The 19,594-nt window shown below is 40.5% G+C and overlaps 1 protein-coding gene across 1 annotated transcript in view, besides 1 other annotated feature; it reads left to right on the plus strand.

The window, feature by feature from the left end:
- The window catches only part of SHROOM3 (shroom family member 3), a 348,025-nt gene that overhangs the window by 40,366 nt on the left and 288,065 nt on the right, over positions 1 to 19,594 (plus strand). The gene's annotated exons all lie outside the window — the stretch shown is intronic.
- Positions 1,997 to 2,727: an enhancer, noted in NCBI's record as "H3K27ac hESC enhancer chr4:77398744-77399474 (GRCh37/hg19 assembly coordinates)". NCBI's record gives its function as "activates a minimal SCP1, AML or CMV promoter by ChIP-STARR-seq in primed H9 embryonic stem cells {active_cell/tissue: H9 hESC(primed)}" and the evidence as "EXISTENCE:reporter gene assay evidence [ECO:0000049][PMID:30033119]".

Genomic DNA, 19,594 nt, shown 5'->3' on the forward strand with positions numbered 1-19,594 from the left:
AAATAAAATATTCAATGCAGAAGTTGCATAAAACCTGTTTCTCACATTGCTTTTTGAATACATGCTTAAGGGACATTTAAGAGTCTATGGCAAATGTTGGCTCTTTGGATTGAAAACCACAAGCTAAAAAAGAATATTAAGGAAATCCAAAGCAAATCACTTGATTTATACCAAGCACTCAATTTTCTCAACACAGTTCTTCAGAAGACAGTTTCAGTAAATTGTGTTAACCACAGATTCATTGTTTACAATAGCTTTCATTAATGTAACATTCCACAGTAGGGAAAAAAATTTTACAATGAGTGAGAAAACACTCTGTAATTAATTCTCCTAGTGTTTTCTACAATATTCCAAGAGATCTGTGTGGATCACAAAACAATACTGTTTTTTAAAAAAATTCTGTTCTAGAAATCACATGAAACAATCCTACCTGTAACTGCAATTGTATTTTATTTTATTTAAATCTGATGAACTGCATGGGCATACAACACAATGTGAGGGCAATTGTGCCAGCAGAATATGTCTATGATCAGGCAGTATGCTGAGAACCAGCAGGTGGGGGAAAATGAGACTTGGGGGACTACAGGGAATGAATCTGGAGGCAGCAGCAATTTTTTAGAATAATTTGAAAACCCTTTGTTTTGAAGGATTTGGTTACCTAATTAGGTTAGAGAAGCTTGTGTGCTTTGTACACAAGGAGAGATGATCTCTATGCTTTTCCTAGACTCTCAAAGCCATTTGTGTTAATTATATGACCTCCACTAAGCACTCAAGGTCTGGCCTATGATATGTTTTCTGTACTCTTCCAAATGCTCATACATTCATTATTAAGAAACTTGGCTTCAGAGCATCAGATTACTGCATTTCTTGTAAACCAGCTTAGTGGCAACAAAATCCAATTCATCTCTAGACATTGGGTTTTCTTAGATGAGCTCTTCTATTTTTCTGTCCCTTGGTTAAAGAAGAGCTGCAAATAGGTCTGCAGAGCTACTTGGTTATCAGTTTTACTTACTATCAAAAGATCTGACTGTATAACCTTTGTTCTTAGATATTTGCTGTGTGTAATTTATTTTATTTTTTGGTTACTAAAACATTTTCCTTTTTCTTAAGCAGAAATAGCACATGACTAAGAATTAGAATATGCAGTCTCTCCTTTCATCTCTTAATCCCTCACATATAACCTGATGCATTAAGATAATGCTTTTGGGAATGTGCTATGGGTTTCAACAACATGTGTGACTGCTAATGAGCTGGGATAGGCTTGGCTATGATTTCTCTAAGGCTGGAGTTCCTACGAGTGTGGAGAAATACATATTAAAGGATTAAAGATATAAGAGAATGTTCATGAACTATATCTTAACTAGTTCTTGTTTTTAATTTATTTATTTTTTGAGACAGAGTCTCACTCTGTTGCCCAGGCTGGAGTGCAGCGGCCTCATCTCGGCTCACTGCAAGCTCTGCCTCCTGGGTTCACGCCATTCTCCTGCCTCAGCCTCCCAAGTAGCTGGGACTACAGGTGCCCACCACCACGCCCGGCTAATTTTTAATATTTTTAGTAGAGATGGGGTTTCACCGTGTTAGCCAGGATGGTCTCGATCTTCTGACCTCGTGATCCACCCCCCACTCGGCCTCCCAAAGTGCTAGGATTATGGGCGTGAGCCACCACACCCGGCCTATCTTAACTAGTTCTTATGGCTGAAATAAGACAGAGAGACTGGGAACATTTCCTAACCAAAATAGGATTTGGTTAAACTTTGTATGCGGTAAGAGGAAAGGACAGACCCTCTTAGAAAACTCAGACCATTGCCCCTTGCCTCAAGACTGCACATAACATAATCCTCTTTCTGTTTTTGCCTGAATTGCCCAGATGCTCAAAGCCATTCATAATGTTCACAGTGACTATATTAATTTTTAAATTTTGGAATTATTCTCATGATTTTTTATCATATATACATATATATTGTTTGTATAGGTGGTATATGTGTGTGCATATATATAGAAAATATATACATTTACCTATAATTGCTTTTGGAAACAAGTGAGATATCAAGAACATGTTAAAGAACAGATGATGTGATTTTGTGGCTGGCAAGATGGCCGAATAGGAACAGCTCTGGTCTGCAGCTCCCAGTGAGATCAACGCAGAAGGCAGGTCATTTCTGCATTTCCAGCTGAGGTACCCAGCTCATCTCATTGGGACTGGTTAGACAGTGGGTGCAGCCCATGGAGGGTGAGCAGAAGCAGGGTGGGGCATCGCCTCACCTGGGAAGTGCAAGGGGTTGGGGAACTCCCTCCCCTAGCCAAGGGAAGTCATGAGGGACTGTGCTGTGAGGAATGGTGCATTCTGGCCCAGACATTATGCTTTTCCCATGGTCTTTGCAACCCACAGACCAGGAGACTCTCTTGGGTGCCTACACCACCAGGGCCCTGGGTTTCAAGCACAAAACTGGGCGGTTGTTTGGGCAGACACCGAGCTAGCTACAGGAGTTTATTTTTCATACCCCAGTGGTGCCTAGAATGCCAGCAAGACAGAATTGTTCACTCCCCTGGAAAGGGGGCTGAAGCCAGGGAGCCAAGTAGTCTAGTTCAGCAGATCCCACCCCCATGGAGCCCAGCAAGCTAAGATCCACTGGCTTGAAATTCTCGCTGCTAGCATAGCAGTCTGAGCTCCACCTGGGACACTCAAGTTTGGTGGGGGGAGGGGCATCCGCCATTACCAAGGCTTGAGTAGGCAGTTTTCCCCTCACAGTGTAAACAAAGCCACTGGGAAGTTCAAACTGGGCAGAGCCCACTGCAGCTTCACAAAACCACTGTAGCCAGACTGCCTCTCTAGATTCTGCCTCTCTAGGCAGGACATTTCTGAAAGAAAGGCAGAAGCCCCAGGCAGGGGTTGATAAATAAAACTCCCATCTCCCTGGGACAGAGCACCTGGGGGAAGGGGCAGCTATGGGTGCAGCTTCAGCAAGCTTAAACATTCCTGCTTGCCAGCTCTGAAGAGAGCAGCAGATCTCCCAGCACGGTGCTCGAGCTATGCTAAGGGACAGACTGCCTCCTCAAGTGGGTTCATGACCCCCTTGCCTCCTGACTGGGAGACACCTCCCAGTAGGGGATGACAGACACCTCATATAGGAGAGCTCCGGCTGGCATCTGACAGGTGCCCCTCTGGGATGAAGCTTCCAGAGGAAGGAACAGGCAGCAATATTTGCTGTTCTGCAGACTCTGCTGGTGATACCCAGGCAAACAGGGTCTTGAGTGGACCTTCAGCAAACTCTAGCAGACCTGCAGCAGAGGGGCCGGACTGTTAGAAGGAAAACTAATAAACAGAAAGGAGTAACATCAACATCAACAAAAAGGATGTCCACTCAGAAACCCCATCTGAAGGTCACCAACATCAAAGACCAAAGGTAGATAAATCCACGAAGATGAGAAAAAAACAGCTCGAAAAGGCTGAAAATTCCAAAAACCAGAACGCCTCTTCTTCTCCAAAGGATCACAACTCCTCGCCAACAAGGGAACAAAACTGGATGGAGAATGAGTTTGACAAATTGACAGAAGTAGGGTACAGAAGGTATGTAATAAACTCCTCTGAGCTAAAGGAGCATGTCCTAACCCAATGCAAGGAGGCTAAGAACCTTGAAAAAAGGTTAGAGGAATTGCTAACTAGAACACCCAGTTTAGAGAAGAACATAAATGACCTGATGGAGCTGAAAAACACAGCACAAGAATGTTGTGAAGCATATACACAAGTATCAATAGCTGAATCCATCAAGCAGAAGAAAGGATATCAGAGACTGAAGATCAGCTTAATGAAATAAAGCATGAAGACAAGATTAGAGAAAAAAGAATGAAAAGGAATGAACAAAACCTCCAAAAAATAGGGGACTATGTGGAAAGACCAAACCTACATTTGATTGGTGTACCTGAAAGTGACGAGGAGATGGAATCAAGTTGGAAAACACTCTTCAGGATATTATCCAGGAGAACTTCCCCAACCTAGCAAGACAGGCCAACATTCAAATTCAGGAAATACAGAGAATACCATAAAGATACTCCTCAAGAAGAACAACCCCAAGACACATAATCATCAGATTCACCAAGGTTGAAATGAAGGAAAATACGTTAAGGGCAGCCAGAAAGAAAGGTCGGGTTACCCACAAAGGAGAGCCCATCAGGCTAACAGTGGATCTCTCTGCAGAGACCCTACAAGCCAGAAGAGAGTGGGAGCCAATATTCAACATTCTTAAAAGAATTTTCAACCCAGAATTTCATATCCAGCCAAACTAAGCTTCACAAGCTAAGGAGAAATAAAATCCTTTACAGACGAGCAACTGCTGAGAGATTTTGTCACCACCAGGCCTACCTTACAAGAGCTTCTGAAGGAAGCACTAAATATGGAAAGGAAAACCCAGTACCAGCCACTGCAAAAACATACCAAATTGTAAAGGCCGTTGACACTATGAAGAAACTGCATCAACTAACAGGCAAAATAACCAGATAGCATCATACTGACAGGATCAAATTCACACATAACAATATTAACCTTAAATGTAAATGGGCTAAATGCCCCTTAATAGACCGATTAAAAGACACAGACTGGCAAATTGGATAAAGAGTCAAGACCCATCGGTGTGCTGTATTCAGGAGACCCATCTCATGTGCAAAGACACACATAAGCTCAAAATAAAGAGATGGAGGAAGATTTACCAAGCAAATGGAAAGCAAAAAAGGAAAAGCAGGGGTTGCAATCCTAGTCTCTGATAAAACAGACTTCAAACCAACAAAGATCAAAAAAGACAAAGGCATTACATAATGGTAAAGGGATCAATGCAACAAGAAGAGCTAACTATCCTAAATACATATGCACCCAATACAGGAGCACCCAGATTCATAAAGCAAGTTCTTAGAGACCTACGAAGAGACTTAGACTCACACACAATAATAGTGGGAGACTTTAACACCCCACTGTCAATATTAGATCAGTGAGACAGAAAATTAACAAGGATATTCAGGACTTGAACTCAGCTCTGGAGCAAGCTGACCTAATAGACATCTACAGAACTCTCCATCCCAAATCAACAGAATATACATTCTTCTCGCACCACATCACACTTACTCTAAAATTACCTACATAATTGGAAGTAAAACACTCCTCAGCAAATGCAAAAGAACGGAAATCATAACAAACAATCTCTCAGACCATAGTGCAATCAAACTAGAACTCAGGATTAAGAAACTCACTCAAAACCGAACAGCTACATGGAAACTGAACAACCTGCTCCTGAATGACTACTGGGTAAATACGAAATTAAGGTAGAAATAATGAAGTTCTTTGAAACCAATGAGAACAAAGATACAATGTACCAGAATCTCTGGGACACAGCTAAAGCCGTGTTTAGAGGGAAATTTATAGCACTAAATGCCCACAAAAGAAAGCAGGAAAGATTTAAGATAGACACCCTAACATCACAATTAAAGGAACTAGAGAAGCAAGAGCAAACAAATTCAAAAGCTAGCAGAAGACAAGAAATAACTAAGATCATAGCAGAACTGAAGGAGATAGAGATACGAAAAACCCTTCAAAAAATCAATTAATCCAGAAGCTGGTTTTTTGAAAACATTAACAAAATAGACTGCTAGCCAGACTAATAAAGAAGAAAAGAGGGAAGCATCAAATAGATACAATAAAAAATGATAAAGGGGATATCACCAGTGATCCCACAGAAATGCAAACTACCATCAGAAAATACTATAAACACCTCTACACAAATAAACTAGAAAATCTAAAAGAAATGGATAAATTCCTGGACACATACACCCTCCCAAGACTAAACCAGGAAGAAGTTGAATCCCTTAATAGACCAGTAACAAGTTCTGAAATTGAGGCAATAATTAATAGCCTGCCAACCAGGTAGGCTATTAAAAAAAAAAAAGCCCAGGACCAGATTCACAGCCGAATTCTACCAGAGGTACAAAGAGGAGCTGTACCATTCCTTCTGAAACTATTCCAAACAATAGAAAAAGAGGGACTCCCCCCTAACTCATGTTTAACTCATTTTACTCCTCCCAGCATCATCCTGATACCAAAGTCTGGCAGAGACACAACAAAAAATGAAAATTTCAGGCCAATATCCCTGATGGACATTGATGCAAAATCCTTAATAAAATACTGACAAACCCCAAATCCAGTGGCACATCAAAAAGCTTATCCACCACAATCAAGTCAGCTTCATCCCTGGGATGCAAGGCTGGTTCAACATGCACAAATCAATAAACGTAGTCCATCACGGAAACAGAACCAATGACAAAAACCACATGATTATTTCAATAGATACAGAAAATGCCTTCAATAAAATTCAACACCCCTTCATGCTAAAAACTCTCAATAAACTAGGTATTGATGGAACATAGCTCAAAATATTAAAAGATATTTATGACAGACCCACAGCCAATATCATACTGAATGGGCAAAAGCTGGAAGCATTCCCTTTGAAAACTGGCATAAGACAAGGATACCCACTCTCACCACTCCTATTCAACATAGTATTGGAAGCTCTGGCCAGGGCAATCAGGCAAGAGAAAGAAATAAAGGGTATTCAAATAAGAAGAGAGGAAGTCAAATTGTCTCCGTTTGCAGATGACATGATTGTATATTTAGAAAACCCCATCATCTCAGCCCAAAATTTCCTTAAGCTGATAAGCAACTTCAGCAAAGTCCCAAGATACAAAATCAATGCGGAAAAATCACAAGCATTCCTATATACCAATAATAGACAAACAGAGAGCCAAATCATGAGCCAAATCCCATTCACAATTGCTACAAATAGAATAAAATACCTAGGAATCCAACTTACAAGGGATGTGAAGGACCTCTTCAAGGAGAACTACAAACCACTGCTCAAGGAAATAAGAGAGGACAAATGGAAAAACATTCCATGTTCATGGATAGGAAGAATGAATATCGTGAAAATGGCCATACTGCCCAAAGTAATTTATAGATCCAATGCTATCCCCATCAATCTACCATTGACTTTATTCACAGAACTAGAAAAAATTACTTTAAATTTCATATGGAACCGAAAAAGAGCCCACATAGCCAAGACAATCCTAAGCAAAAAGAACAAAGCTGGAGGCATCACGCTACCTAACTTCAAACTATACTATAAGGCTACAGTAACCAAAACAGCATGGTACTGGTACCAAAACAGATACATAGACCAATGGAACAGAACAGAGGCCTCAGAAGTAATGCCACACATCCACAACCATCTGATCTTTGACAAACCTGACAAAAACAAGAAATGGGGAAAGGATTCCCTATTTAATAAATGGTGTTGGGAAAACTGGCTAGCCATATGCAGAAAACTGAAACTGGACCCCTTCCTTACACCTTATACAAAAATTAACTCAAGATGGATTAAAGACTTAAATGTAAAACCTGAAAGTATAAAAATCCTAAAAGAAAACCTAGGCAATACCATTCAGGACATAGGCATGGGCAAGGACTTCATGAATAAAACACCAAAAGCAATGGCAACAAAAGCCAAAATTGACAAATGGGATTTAATTAAACTAAAGAGCTTCTGCACAGCAAAAGAAATTATCATCAGAGTGAACAGGCAACCTACAGAATGAGAGAAAATTTTTGCAATCTATTTATCTGACAAAGGGTTAATATCCAGAATATACAAAGAACTTAAACAAATTTATAAGAAAAAAACAACCCCATCAAAAAGTGAGCGAAGCATATGAACAGACATTTCTCAAAAGAAGACATTTATGTGGCCAACAAACATATGAAAAAAAGCTCATCATCACTGGTCATTAGAGAAATGCAAATCAAAACCACAATGAGATACCGTGTCATGCCAGTTAGAATGGTGATCATTAGAAAGGCAGGAAACAACAGGTGCTGGAGAGGATGTGGAGAAATAGGAACATTTTTACACTGTTGGTGGGAGTGTAAATTAGTTCAACCATTTTAGAAGACAGTGTGGTGATTCCTCAAGATCTAGAACCAGAAATACCATTTGACCTAGCAATCCTATTACTGGGTATATACCCAAAGGATTATAAATCATTCTATAAAGACACACGCACACGTATGTTTATTACAGCACTATTCACAATAGCAAAGACTTGGAACTGACTCAAATACCCATCAATGACAGACTGGATAAAAAAATATGGCACGTATATACCATGGAATAATATACAGCCATAAAAAAGGATGAGTTAATGTCCTTTGCAGGGGCATGGATGAAGCTAGAAACCATCATTCTCAGCAAACTAACACAGTAACAGAAAACCAAACACTGCATGTTCTCATTCATAAGTGGGAGTTGAACAGTGAGAACATGTGGACACAGGGAGGGGAATATTACTTACTGGGGCCTGTGGTGGGGTGGGGGGCTAGGGGAGGGATAGCATTAGGAGAAATACCTAATGTAGATTGACGGGTTGATGGGTGCAGCAAACCATCATGGAACATGTACATCTATATAACAAACCTGCATGTTCTGCACATGTATTCCAGAACTTAAAGTATAATAATAATAAAAAGAACAGATGATGTATCCAGAATGATTTTTTTTTCTGTCTATAACCTTTAGTTAGCAATTTCTATCAAGGCAATGCTAAACTCATTATGAACAGGAAATAGATGATACAAAACAAAGCAAATTAAAAAATAGGTCTGGGCCAGGTGTAGTGGTTCATGCCTGTCATCCCCGCACTTTGAGAGGCTGAGGGGGGAGGATTGCTTGAGGCCAGGAGTTTGAGATCAGCCTGGGCAACATAGTGAGACCTCATCTCTTAAGAAAAAAAAAAATTTGCCAGGCATGGTGTCTCACACCTGTAGTCCCAGCTACTTGGGAGGCTGAGCTGGGAGGATCATTTGAGCCCAGGAGTTGGAGACTATAGTGAGCTATGGTTTCACCACTGCACTCTAGCCTGGGCTACAGCCTGAGACCCTTACTCTAAAACAAACAAACAAACAAACAAACAAACAAACAAACAAAAAGTCTTAGGAGAGCTGATTACAGTTTAGCGGAAGCAGCCTTTTGACTTTCCCTTCTTTTAATACCAGGGATTTTACTTAGATTGCAAAACTGTGGATGTTTTGTGGCAACTTGGAGTCTCAACATCTATTAGCAAAAAAGTAAGAGGATTGTAATTACAGTCTAAGCTTCGGAGCTGGTTGGGCCTGACATTTGAGAAAATGGATAAGGCCAGCCCTTTGTCTCCCTCTGCCCCCACCCGCTTCCCTCTCTGGGACCCAAGCTCTCTTGCTGCCCAGCCAAACCTGTCGTCTTGAGAAGGCACTGAAGCTGCTGACCCTTTCTGCTCTGCCCACCAAAATATAACCACCCACAGTCTCTGTTCAGAGATGGAATCCAGTGAGATACCTATAATACATTCACAGTAGATGTCAGATAATAGAAGAACTCACTCTTCTCATATCACATGGGAAACACACTGTTGTCGCCTTTCCATCCTGTTTCAACAATTCAGATTATCTCAAGATTCAGAAGCTGCGATGTTAAATTAGGGGTCAACTGTCCCTTGCCCCCCTCCCTTGTGACCTCACTTTCCTGTCTCTCATTGATACTTGCTGTCTGCAAATAACCTGGACTCTGGGTACTTTTTTCATGTGAAAGGAAGGATTTTGAGCTCTTTTTGGCTAAAGTTGATAAGAAGGATTGGAAAGTAGCTTAGTTCCTAATTGAGGTTCTCTCCCTGTCTCTAAATATAAATAGAAAAACTCATGGAACATTTGTGAGAGAAGAGTTATATGTTTAGTTGCTTAGAACATTTTATTTTAGAAATAAATATTTAGGGATACAGCCATTCATGGTGTTTTCATGAACTTATCCCTTATGAATGCATATGATATGTTCATTCACCTCTTTGTAGAAGCTTTGATCGTTTTGCACAAAACAGGAAGTAGTAGTAGTGGCAGTATGGATTTGGGAGGGTGAAGTTAGCTTTGGCCAGGTGATCTCTGCATATCAGACTATTAAAGGCAGCGCCTTTACAGAATGTTGGCTGGGCTGTGACTCATGCTTTGCTTTGCACTCCCTAAAGAGGCTTTATGTATCGCCTCTTTGTCCTTTCCCAAGTCATTTGAAAATAAATAGAAGAGAGAATAATGTGATCAGGGGCTCTAATTGTATTTATTGCTTATGTAGGGTTGTAGTAGATACAGGGATGTTTCCTTATTCTTTATGTCTTGCACATCTGAAATGTGTCATAATAAATGATATTTTAAAAAACTAAACAGAACAACTAGTTTTGGGAATTTGTCCTACATAGTCATATGACTCATCTGCATAGATCCTAATATGATCATAGCTTGGCCATTTCCATTTTTTCTGTTTTTCTCCTTCTTAAACACAAGTGGAATTTTTATTTTATTTATTTATTTATTTTTTGCGTTTTTCAATCTTGGATAGGACTAGTTGCTTCCCACCTTTTCTGAGGTACAGAAAAAAATAAGTGCGTGCTGCCATTTGCTTAAAGATCAGCAGTTTCCATCTCTGCAGGTCAGAAAGGAAGTGAATACAATGTATTGGATCAATAAGCACAGATATTTGCAATACTAACTATACCAATTTCAAAAACACAGTAAGTTGTATATTTAATTGAAAGTTCAGAAAGGACAAACAGTAGATGACAGCTAATACAGTTTGAAAAGAATGTTTAAAATGTGCAGACAAAAGATTATTTGCCTATAAACAAGATTGATAATTTATAATCATGTGATGGATTGAATCTCTTTCATAAATATTTGAATAAGATGGGATCAAGGCAGTAAAGTTGATCATGAAGCTTTACCTTGTCAATCCTCATGAGTGTTGACAATACCTGTTGGGAATAAACCCTGTAGCCTGGCTGACCAACTGATATCTATATCCCAATCCACTGGCACATCAATAATTTTTGTAAAGTAAAAAGAAAAAGAGGGAGAGGGAACTGTTTGTTTGATGGTGGATGGAGAAAGTGTCCCAGGAAAGAAAGCTACATGCTGGTGTCTTAGTGGCAGCCAGGACCACCCTGTGTGGACATGTAGTTTGTACTCTGCATGACTCCTGGGGGCATCATTCACATAGATTCCTAAAGGAATGACGCTCTCTATGGTTGTACAATCTCAGCCCTAGTGGTAATCATTTATTTGGCAATCTGGAAATGTTTCCAGAAGTATCCCTTGTGAAGGACAAAGGTCTACTGTGTATCTTGCATATTTCATTATTAACCCTGTGACTTGTGCTGAGTAACTACTTAATATCTATTCAGTGCTAAAATAAGAGAAAGGCAACTTTAAAAAAAAAACCTTTTTGAGACATAATTCACATATTATAAAGTTCACCTGCCTATAGTATACAATGATTTTTAGTATATTCATGGAGTAGTGCAACTATCACCACGATCAATTTTGAAACATGTCATCACCACCCCACCCCCAGAAAAATAAACCTCATGCCCATTAACAGTCATTCTCTGTTCCTCTCTTGCCCCAGCTCCTGGCAACCACTTATCTACTTTCTGTCCCTACAGATTTGCTGATTCTGGACATTTCATATAAATAGAACCATATACTGTGTGGCTTTTGGTGGCAAGTTTCTTGCACTTAACGTAGTGTTTTCAAGGTTTATCCATGTTGAAGTAGCATATATCAGTACTTTATTTCTTTTTTATTGCCAAGTTATATTCCACTGTATGGCTATACCACATTTTATTTATCCATTCTTTAGTTGGTGGACATCTGAGTTGCTTCTACTTTTTTGGCTATTATGAATAGTGCTGTTGTGAATATTCATGTACATTTTGTTTGTGTGGACATAAGCTTTTAATTCTCTTAGGCATATATCTAGGAGTGAAATTGCTGGAGAGAAAGGCAATTTTAATTTAGAAATCTCTACATTATTTGCTTTTATATTTAAAGTCATCTTATTAATGGTATATATCTGGCTTGGCTGGTAATTCTGGGTCCTGTATCAAACCTCCGCCTTACAATCCCCATCCATGTTGTGAGCCGGTAGGTGAACCACAGAAAATTGAAATGTACTACTGGGTTAGTCTCTTTGAACAGGGTCATACTTACATTGAATTCACTCTGATTTATTATTTTGCTACTGCACTTGGAACACAGACAGTATTCACTAAGAATTGGAACTATAGACTAGAAACAGAGGTTCCCTGTTTTCATTAGTCAACTCTCAAAGGATGGAAGCAGCCAATTTCAGACTATTCTAGGGCTCTTGCTCTCTTAGTTGCTTGCCATCCTTCTTTCTTTTGGCCTTTTTGCATTTCATTAGTGTCACTTACAGAGCTAAGAGAACACAGATAATTCATCCAAAGTATTTTTATAGTCTTTAGGTGAAAAGAACTTTTAATATGTGTGTCATCTTGGTTTCTATGTCCCTTGTAAATTATGTTGTTTACCCTGAAACTATGAAGAAGCTGCAGTTGACTTCCTTCAACCTAATCTTAGCTTCTAGTATTGTGCTATTGGAGTTATTATTGAGGATGATAAAAAGAGTGTATAGTATTGAAGGCAAATTGTTTAAGTGTGTAAATTATAATTTGTTTTTTTTAAAGGGGGTTCACTAACAGACTAAGGACCATCAGAAAGATTTTTTTAAATAGACCATATTTTTAGCAACGTTACACATAGTTGTAGTGGTTATGACTTTGCAAAATAAACATCGTCTTAGAATTGAGGTCCTAGAATTAATGGACTTAAGTCTGATTTTTAATGGGCCAAAGCTATTTAAACTGTACATGCATTAACAATTTTCTTAGTGGCATGTATACTTGAGTAGGAGGTTATAAAGAGTAGACAATGAGAATGATGCTGTTTGACTTTTAAAGGGAACATTGTTTCATTGGAGAGGAATAAAATATGGACTTCTCTTTAAGCAAGGCAGTTTGCATTTCTGTTGGCCAGATTTCTTGAGAATGTGATAAAGCATTAGCCCCACCATTTCCAGCATCCTCCATTTAATTCTTCTTAGACTCTTTTCCACAGAATGAAATTGATTGATTCATGGCTGAGGGTTTGAAAAGAGAGCCTTGGGGAAAATTTTAAGAAGTGTTCCAGGAGGCCATAAAGACTGTTGACAGGTGGCCAAGCCCAGGAAAAAAGTATTAGTAATAACAACAGCTCACCCTACATAGCTCTTAATCATATGTCAGGCAGTGCACTAAACACGTTACATGTACTAACTCATGTGATTCTCACAACAATCCTATGAGGTCAAAACTTGTTTTTATCCCCAATTTAGATGAAGGAATTAGGGCACAAATAGGTTAAGGCAATTGTTCAAGGTCACACAGCCACAATGTGAGCCCAGGTGGTCTAGTTCCAGAGTCAGTACTAACCACTAAGTGTGCAGATTACTAGAAACTTGGAGACACTCCAACTCCTGAATATGGTGCCTAGCCAGGGCTCTGGAGGAAGCAGGCAGGGCAGGGCCCAGGTCCCTGCCAGCACTTTGCCAAAATGAACTGGTGAACTGAGGCACTGTCATGACCTTTGCTGCTTGAATAATTTCAGACGGCAAAAGAAGCCCAGTCATGTGAAATTCCTTTGTGGCTAGAAGATGTCAACAGGCACAGATCTAGCTCATCTTTCAAGATATGCAATTTTTTTTCTTAACAGAATGAATGCTCCTGTATATAATATTGTCCTTTATGGTGGCTGGTTCATAGAAACTGACAAAGAAGTCAAATTAAGAGCAGTTAAAAGTTAAAGATGTAAAAGTTAAGTCACAAGACCCAAGTAGAGTGAGAAGAAGGTAATTTGTGTGTCTGTTTAATCCCTGGCATGACCTTTAATCTCTGCTACTTAAAAATTACAGATGCAATCTTAACTATGGCATAATGAAACAAAGACCACCACTTCTTTTTTCTTTCTGCTTTTTGAAGTTGCGCAGATGTCAGAGGAAGATAAATAAATACTGTTAACAGCTTCTGGAAGCATAATGTGCTTTGAAAGAGTGAGTCAAAGCTCGAGCCAGGGTTTATGGCCTCAGCAAGTCGAGGTTTTCCTGATGACAAAATGAGGCCTTGGGGTTTTGGAGGAAGCTTTCTTGAAGAATGAGCACAGCCAAGAATGGTGCTACACTTGGGACTCTCCTTTGTCAATAGAAAAAGACAAAGGACCCGTTTATAAAATGGATATCAAGTAGCAGATTAGAGGGACATAGTTGTGTCACCGGTATGATGGTCGTAACTGCAAGTTGTCCAGGTTCTTGGTGTTTTGAACAAAGAATTGGACAAAACGCCCAGCAAAGCAAAGAAAGAATGAGGCAACAAAAGAACAAAAGCAGGGATTTATTGAAAACGAAAGTACCCTCCACAGTGTGGGGGCGGGCTGAGCAGCAGCTCAAGGGCCTGGATATAGAATCTTCTTGGGTCCAAATACTCCCTAGAAGTTTCCCATTGGCCACTTCATGCTCACTTCATGTAAATGAAGTGGTAGCATGCAATCAGTCTGATTGGTTACAGAAAGCCAACCAGAGGCTGAAGTGAAGTTACAAAGGTCACACTCCTGTGCAAACATCTGGTTGGTTGCAAAAAGCAACCAATCAGAGGCTAGAGTGAAGTTACAAAGTTATACTTCTATGAAAAGGAAGACTTAGCCGGCAATCAGTCTGACTGGTTGTGGACAGCAACCATTCAGAGGCTGGAGTGGAGTTACAAAATTACAAATGAAGACTTGACCGGCAATCAGTCTGATTTGTTGTGGACAGCCAGTTTCCCATCTGACATGCAGAAAAGGCAGGGGGTTTGCAAAGGGAGTAGCTTCTGGTCTTTTTGTATTTTTTTTTCTTTTTTTTAGTAGAGACGGGAGTTTTCACCATGTTAGCCAGGATGGTCTCAATCTCCTGACCTCGTGATCTGCCTGTCTCGGCCTGTCAAAGTGCTGGGATTACAGGTGTGAGCCACCGCACCCGGCTGCTTCTGGTCCTTTTATTACTTAGGCATGAAAAGTTAGGGTTTTCCTTTCAATTTAGTCCTAGGAAGTTGGCGTGAAACAGCCTTAGGTTCCCTGCCTCCAGACCCTATTCTCCTGCCTCAGTTGAATTGTATTTCAGCAATTGAAATCAGCTAATCGAGGACAGACACCTCATATATGTTACCCACCTACTCTCCCTAATATGTAGAATGCCTATATATAAAAATAATAGCAAGAAACAATAATTACAACTTATTGACACCATGTGTGCCCTGTACTAGCATCACCTCCATTTTATGTGGGAAAGAACTGTGTTGGAGGGTGAAGTCACTAGCCCATATTACACAAGTCTTTTAACTACAGAGTCAGCTTTCTTAACCACTGGAGCCCATTGGGGTTGGAATAAGGCTTTGGAATATCTTCTGGGGTTAACGGGGGAATTCTTGAAAGTTTTCTCAATAGGAAAGTCACGAAAAAGTGGTATCGCTGCTGGAAGGCAGGATGGTTTGGCAACTTTTGAACTGTGGTCTGACTGTGAAGTGATAAGAGTCTGAATTAATATGCTCAATTAGAGTCAAAAGGAGAGGCAAGATGGAAGACTCCCTGAGAAGGAATGGGTGATCCTTGAGACATGGGCACTGACCAGATGTGGGAATTAGGGAAAGGAGGGAGTCAAAGATGAATCCAAGATCTCCAGAGTAGTGTTAGAATGCTTGTGCCATGAATAGAAATGGGGAAATAGGAGATTAAGCCAATTTGGAAAGACTTCTTGGCCTGTGTTGGTGGCAGGGCACTGCCCCACAAAGCATACTGGTTAGTGGGAAATGTGGCAGCTCTTTCTTCATTGTCAGAGCCTTTGTTTTACTACACAGAAGCTTAAAACGCTGGATGCTTGCTTTCCTAGACTCCCTTGCATGTGACTGAGATCCAGTCATGAGGCACAGGTGGATACTTATTGGAAAGATTTTTCTCTCTGATAATAAAAAGTCTAGCAAGAAAAACCTCTTCCTGCTTTGGGTTTCAAATGCAAGGATACCATGATGTCATGCGAGGAGCTGCTGCAGCCATTTTGCAGTCTTGAGGGACAGACCAAGAAAATTAGGGGAAGCTGACTCAGAGCCCTGACACTGGGGAGCCCCTGAAACAACACCAGGACCGTCTGCCTCTCTTATGTGAAAAAAGCACCCCCCAACCCTGGTCAAGCCATTTTTAGATGAGTTATTTTGTGATTTGCAGCCAGAGCATCCAAATTGATGCAGACTTTGTGCAGGTCACAGATCACCTTGATCTGAGCTTTGCTGTGTTTTCTATTTTGGATATTAATTTTGGAAAAACACCATGTGGGAAATGATCATCACAATTGCCCACTGAAGCCTCCAAAATAGTAAGAGTTCCAGAAAGAGAGAGAGAGAATGCACTTTGGATACCATTTCTAGAAAATGAGGGCTTTTTAACAAAAGTCTGTAAAGGCCGAACAGCCTGGCCCAGATCTTAGGCCCGCTTTGCTGCTAGGTGAGAGCCTCTGTTAGGTTTCAATAGTGCAATGTGCTTCTCAAATGACAACGGGGCCCATTAGTAAATTAAACATTCCCATAGCCCCTAGATACAAACTGGGCGAAAGAAGTATTTTCCGTTTTCAGAACTGCTGCTCTTTTCATTTGCTTCTTCCCACCTTCCTTGACATTTGCTGGTGTCTGCTGCCAGGAAGGCATGTTTAGCTCAGTGATGGATGTGCACTAATGAGAATTAGCCTGCTTTGTGGAGCTTTTGAATCAGAGCAAGTATGCTGTTCTGAAGGGCTGAATGACTGGTTGATTGAAAAGTAATTGATTGCAGAATTTCAAAATGAGATTCAAAAGGTACATTACAAACTAGATTTCACAAAAGCCAACTTTCTTTGTCATGTTCTTCTTTTCGGTCATTTTATCCTTTTTAAGTTTACAAAATTATTTTAGAATTTAGTACCAACTTCACCATCTGATTCCTGAAGCTTGGGGTATTATATACATATAAAGTTTATGATAAATTCTCATGATAAGGAAAAAAAACCCTATGCTACATAGATTCTAGTCCTGACTCCGCATTAATAACTGCCACTCAGGGAAAATTGTTTAACTTTTCTGAGCTCCCATTGTTGTTGATAAAAATGTTTGAATAAATCATGCATGAGATCCTATACACGTGAACTTAGACTTTCTATGGTAAGACACAGATTCTCATATTCTACATGGTATTGGGCTGGGGGTCTTCCCTATGCTCCTCTCTGAGAAAACACTCCTGCAGACAGAGAGCAGGCAAAGAAGCCTCTTGCTAGAGGAGTAATCTCAACAAAATTTGGTTTTGATCGTGGGATTCTGGGTGGAGATGCTAGATAAAAGATGATGCAGTTGGGCACGGTGGCTCACGTCTATAATCCTAGCACTTTGGGAGGCCAAGGTGGGTGAATCACCTGAGGTCAGGAGTTCGACACCAACCTGACCAGCATGGTGAAACCCCATCTCTACTAAAAATACAAAAATTAGCTGGCCATGGTGGTGGGTGTCTGTAATCTCAGCTACTCGGGAGGCTGAGGCAGGAGAATTGCTTGAACTCGAGAGGCGGCGGTTGCAGTGAGCCAAGATCGTGCCACTGCACTCCAGCCTGGGCAGCAACAGGAGTGAAACTCCATCTCAAAAAAAAAAAAAAAAAAAAAAAATGCCTAGTTACATTTGAATTTCAGATAAACAAGGATTTTATTTTTAGTATAAGTATGTCCCAAACATTGCATGTGGTATATTTATACTAAAACATTATTCATTGTCTAGTTGAAATTTGAATTTAGCTGGGAGTCCTGTATTTGTATTGGCTAACTCTGGCAACCCTGATTCTGAGAGGAATAATTGATGGTAATGGCCTGAGCCTAAATTGCTCAAAATAAGCAAAGAGGAGCTGCAGAGGATTCTTAGGTCTTGATAGATATGGTGTCCTGGGAGGGGCTGAGTAGGTTCGGCTAAAGGTGAGGGGAGTGAAGGGACTAAGATACATATTAGGAGCCTGGCTAGGACGAGAACCCTCCCTCCTTTCTTCCTCACGCATTCTTAAGTATCTCCTCTACCCACTTTGCTTTTATAAACCTTAATTAGCTTTAACGTAAAGTGAAAATATTGGCCGGGTGTGGTGGCTCATGCCTGTAATCCCAACATTTTGGGAGGCCAAGGTGGGCGGATCACAAGGTCAGGAGTTCGAGACCAGCCTGGCCAACATGGTGAAAGCCTGTCTCTACTAAAAATACAAAAATTAGCCGGGCATGGTGGTGGCCACCTGTAATCCCAGCTACTCAGGAGACTGAGGCAGGAGAATCGTTTGAAACCGGAAGGCAGAGGTTGCAGTGAGCTGAGATTATGCCACTGCACTCCAGCTTGGGCAACAAGAGTGAAACTCCATCTCAAAATAAATAAATAAAGTGAAAAGATTAACTTTCTATGATAGGCTGTCGTTTTGGCATCCTTTTTACGGTCCTTGTTCCTAATTTTGAAATGAGTGGGTGGACCTTATTTTTCTCATTCTCCCTGCTCACGGCCCCCTCCCTAATTCAATTAATATCTGCTGGTGTGTGCCCCAGATTGATTTTTTTTTTTTTTGCCCTCTGTGGACTAGTTATTTCTCAACAGAAAAATGATTGCCAAATTTCTGAAATTCTTTTCTAAACTTCTGAACCTTTTCAGGTGTTATTTATGCTCATCATTCAGTTGTTTGTACATTCTTCACTCACATAGCAAATCTTTAGGAAGTAAAAGAATTGCACTAGGGTTTTACCCTGGTATGTAGCTGTGTGGAGCACTTCAGAGGCAGAATTAACATTGTGCGCTACTAGTTTTATTCCTGTTTGTCAAACAAGATCACTTAACACCTCTGCATTGGGTAACCATGCTTTCCCATGAAGCGAGAGGACTGCTGAGCTTGAGCAATGGCGGGGACCTCTCCCAGATGGTAAGTGTTTTAGGGCACAAGGTCATTATATTAAAAGTAGCAAGAGAATGAACGGGAATCAGGCGGAACATACTGATACTGACACATGTGTGGCACAAGAAATTGCTAAGGTAGGTGCCTGATCGTAAGGGGGTGTCCCCTCCAAATATTGGCACTTGAAAGCAGCCACAAAACCTGGTATTTTAGTTATTTATCCTGAGGGTGAGTAGTGGGAGGGACCTTTCGTGGTACCCTCTGTGTGGTGCTTGCTGTGGTCCTTGTGTTGTAGCCTTTGATGTCCAATGTGCAAGATACAGAATTTGGCAAATAGAGGTCGTTTGTCAAGGTTGGTTCTAAAGGGGCTGCCTAAGTTTGTCATCTATGCAACATAATTCAAAGGCCTGTTCTGTTAAAAAACAAACAAACAAACAAACTCTTAACTACCTCAGAACCACGAGTGAATGCAGAACATTTATTCAGAACAGCTTTCTTCTATTTAGGCACCAAGGCTACTAAAAAGAAAATGATGGCCCCACCATCTGGGAGCTTACAAAATTAAGCAGATGGTTAAAATGCAGTGTAACAAGAGGTGTGGTGATAGATCACACTGGGTTAGGAGCCTGCTGGAGGCACGCAGTACACTGAGGACTTCCGCAAAGAGAGAAGCCTGTAGACGCAGGAGATTGT

This window comes from Homo sapiens, chromosome 4 (genome assembly GCF_000001405.40).
Source record: "Homo sapiens chromosome 4, GRCh38.p14 Primary Assembly".
Classification (NCBI taxonomy): domain Eukaryota; kingdom Metazoa; phylum Chordata; class Mammalia; order Primates; family Hominidae; genus Homo; species Homo sapiens.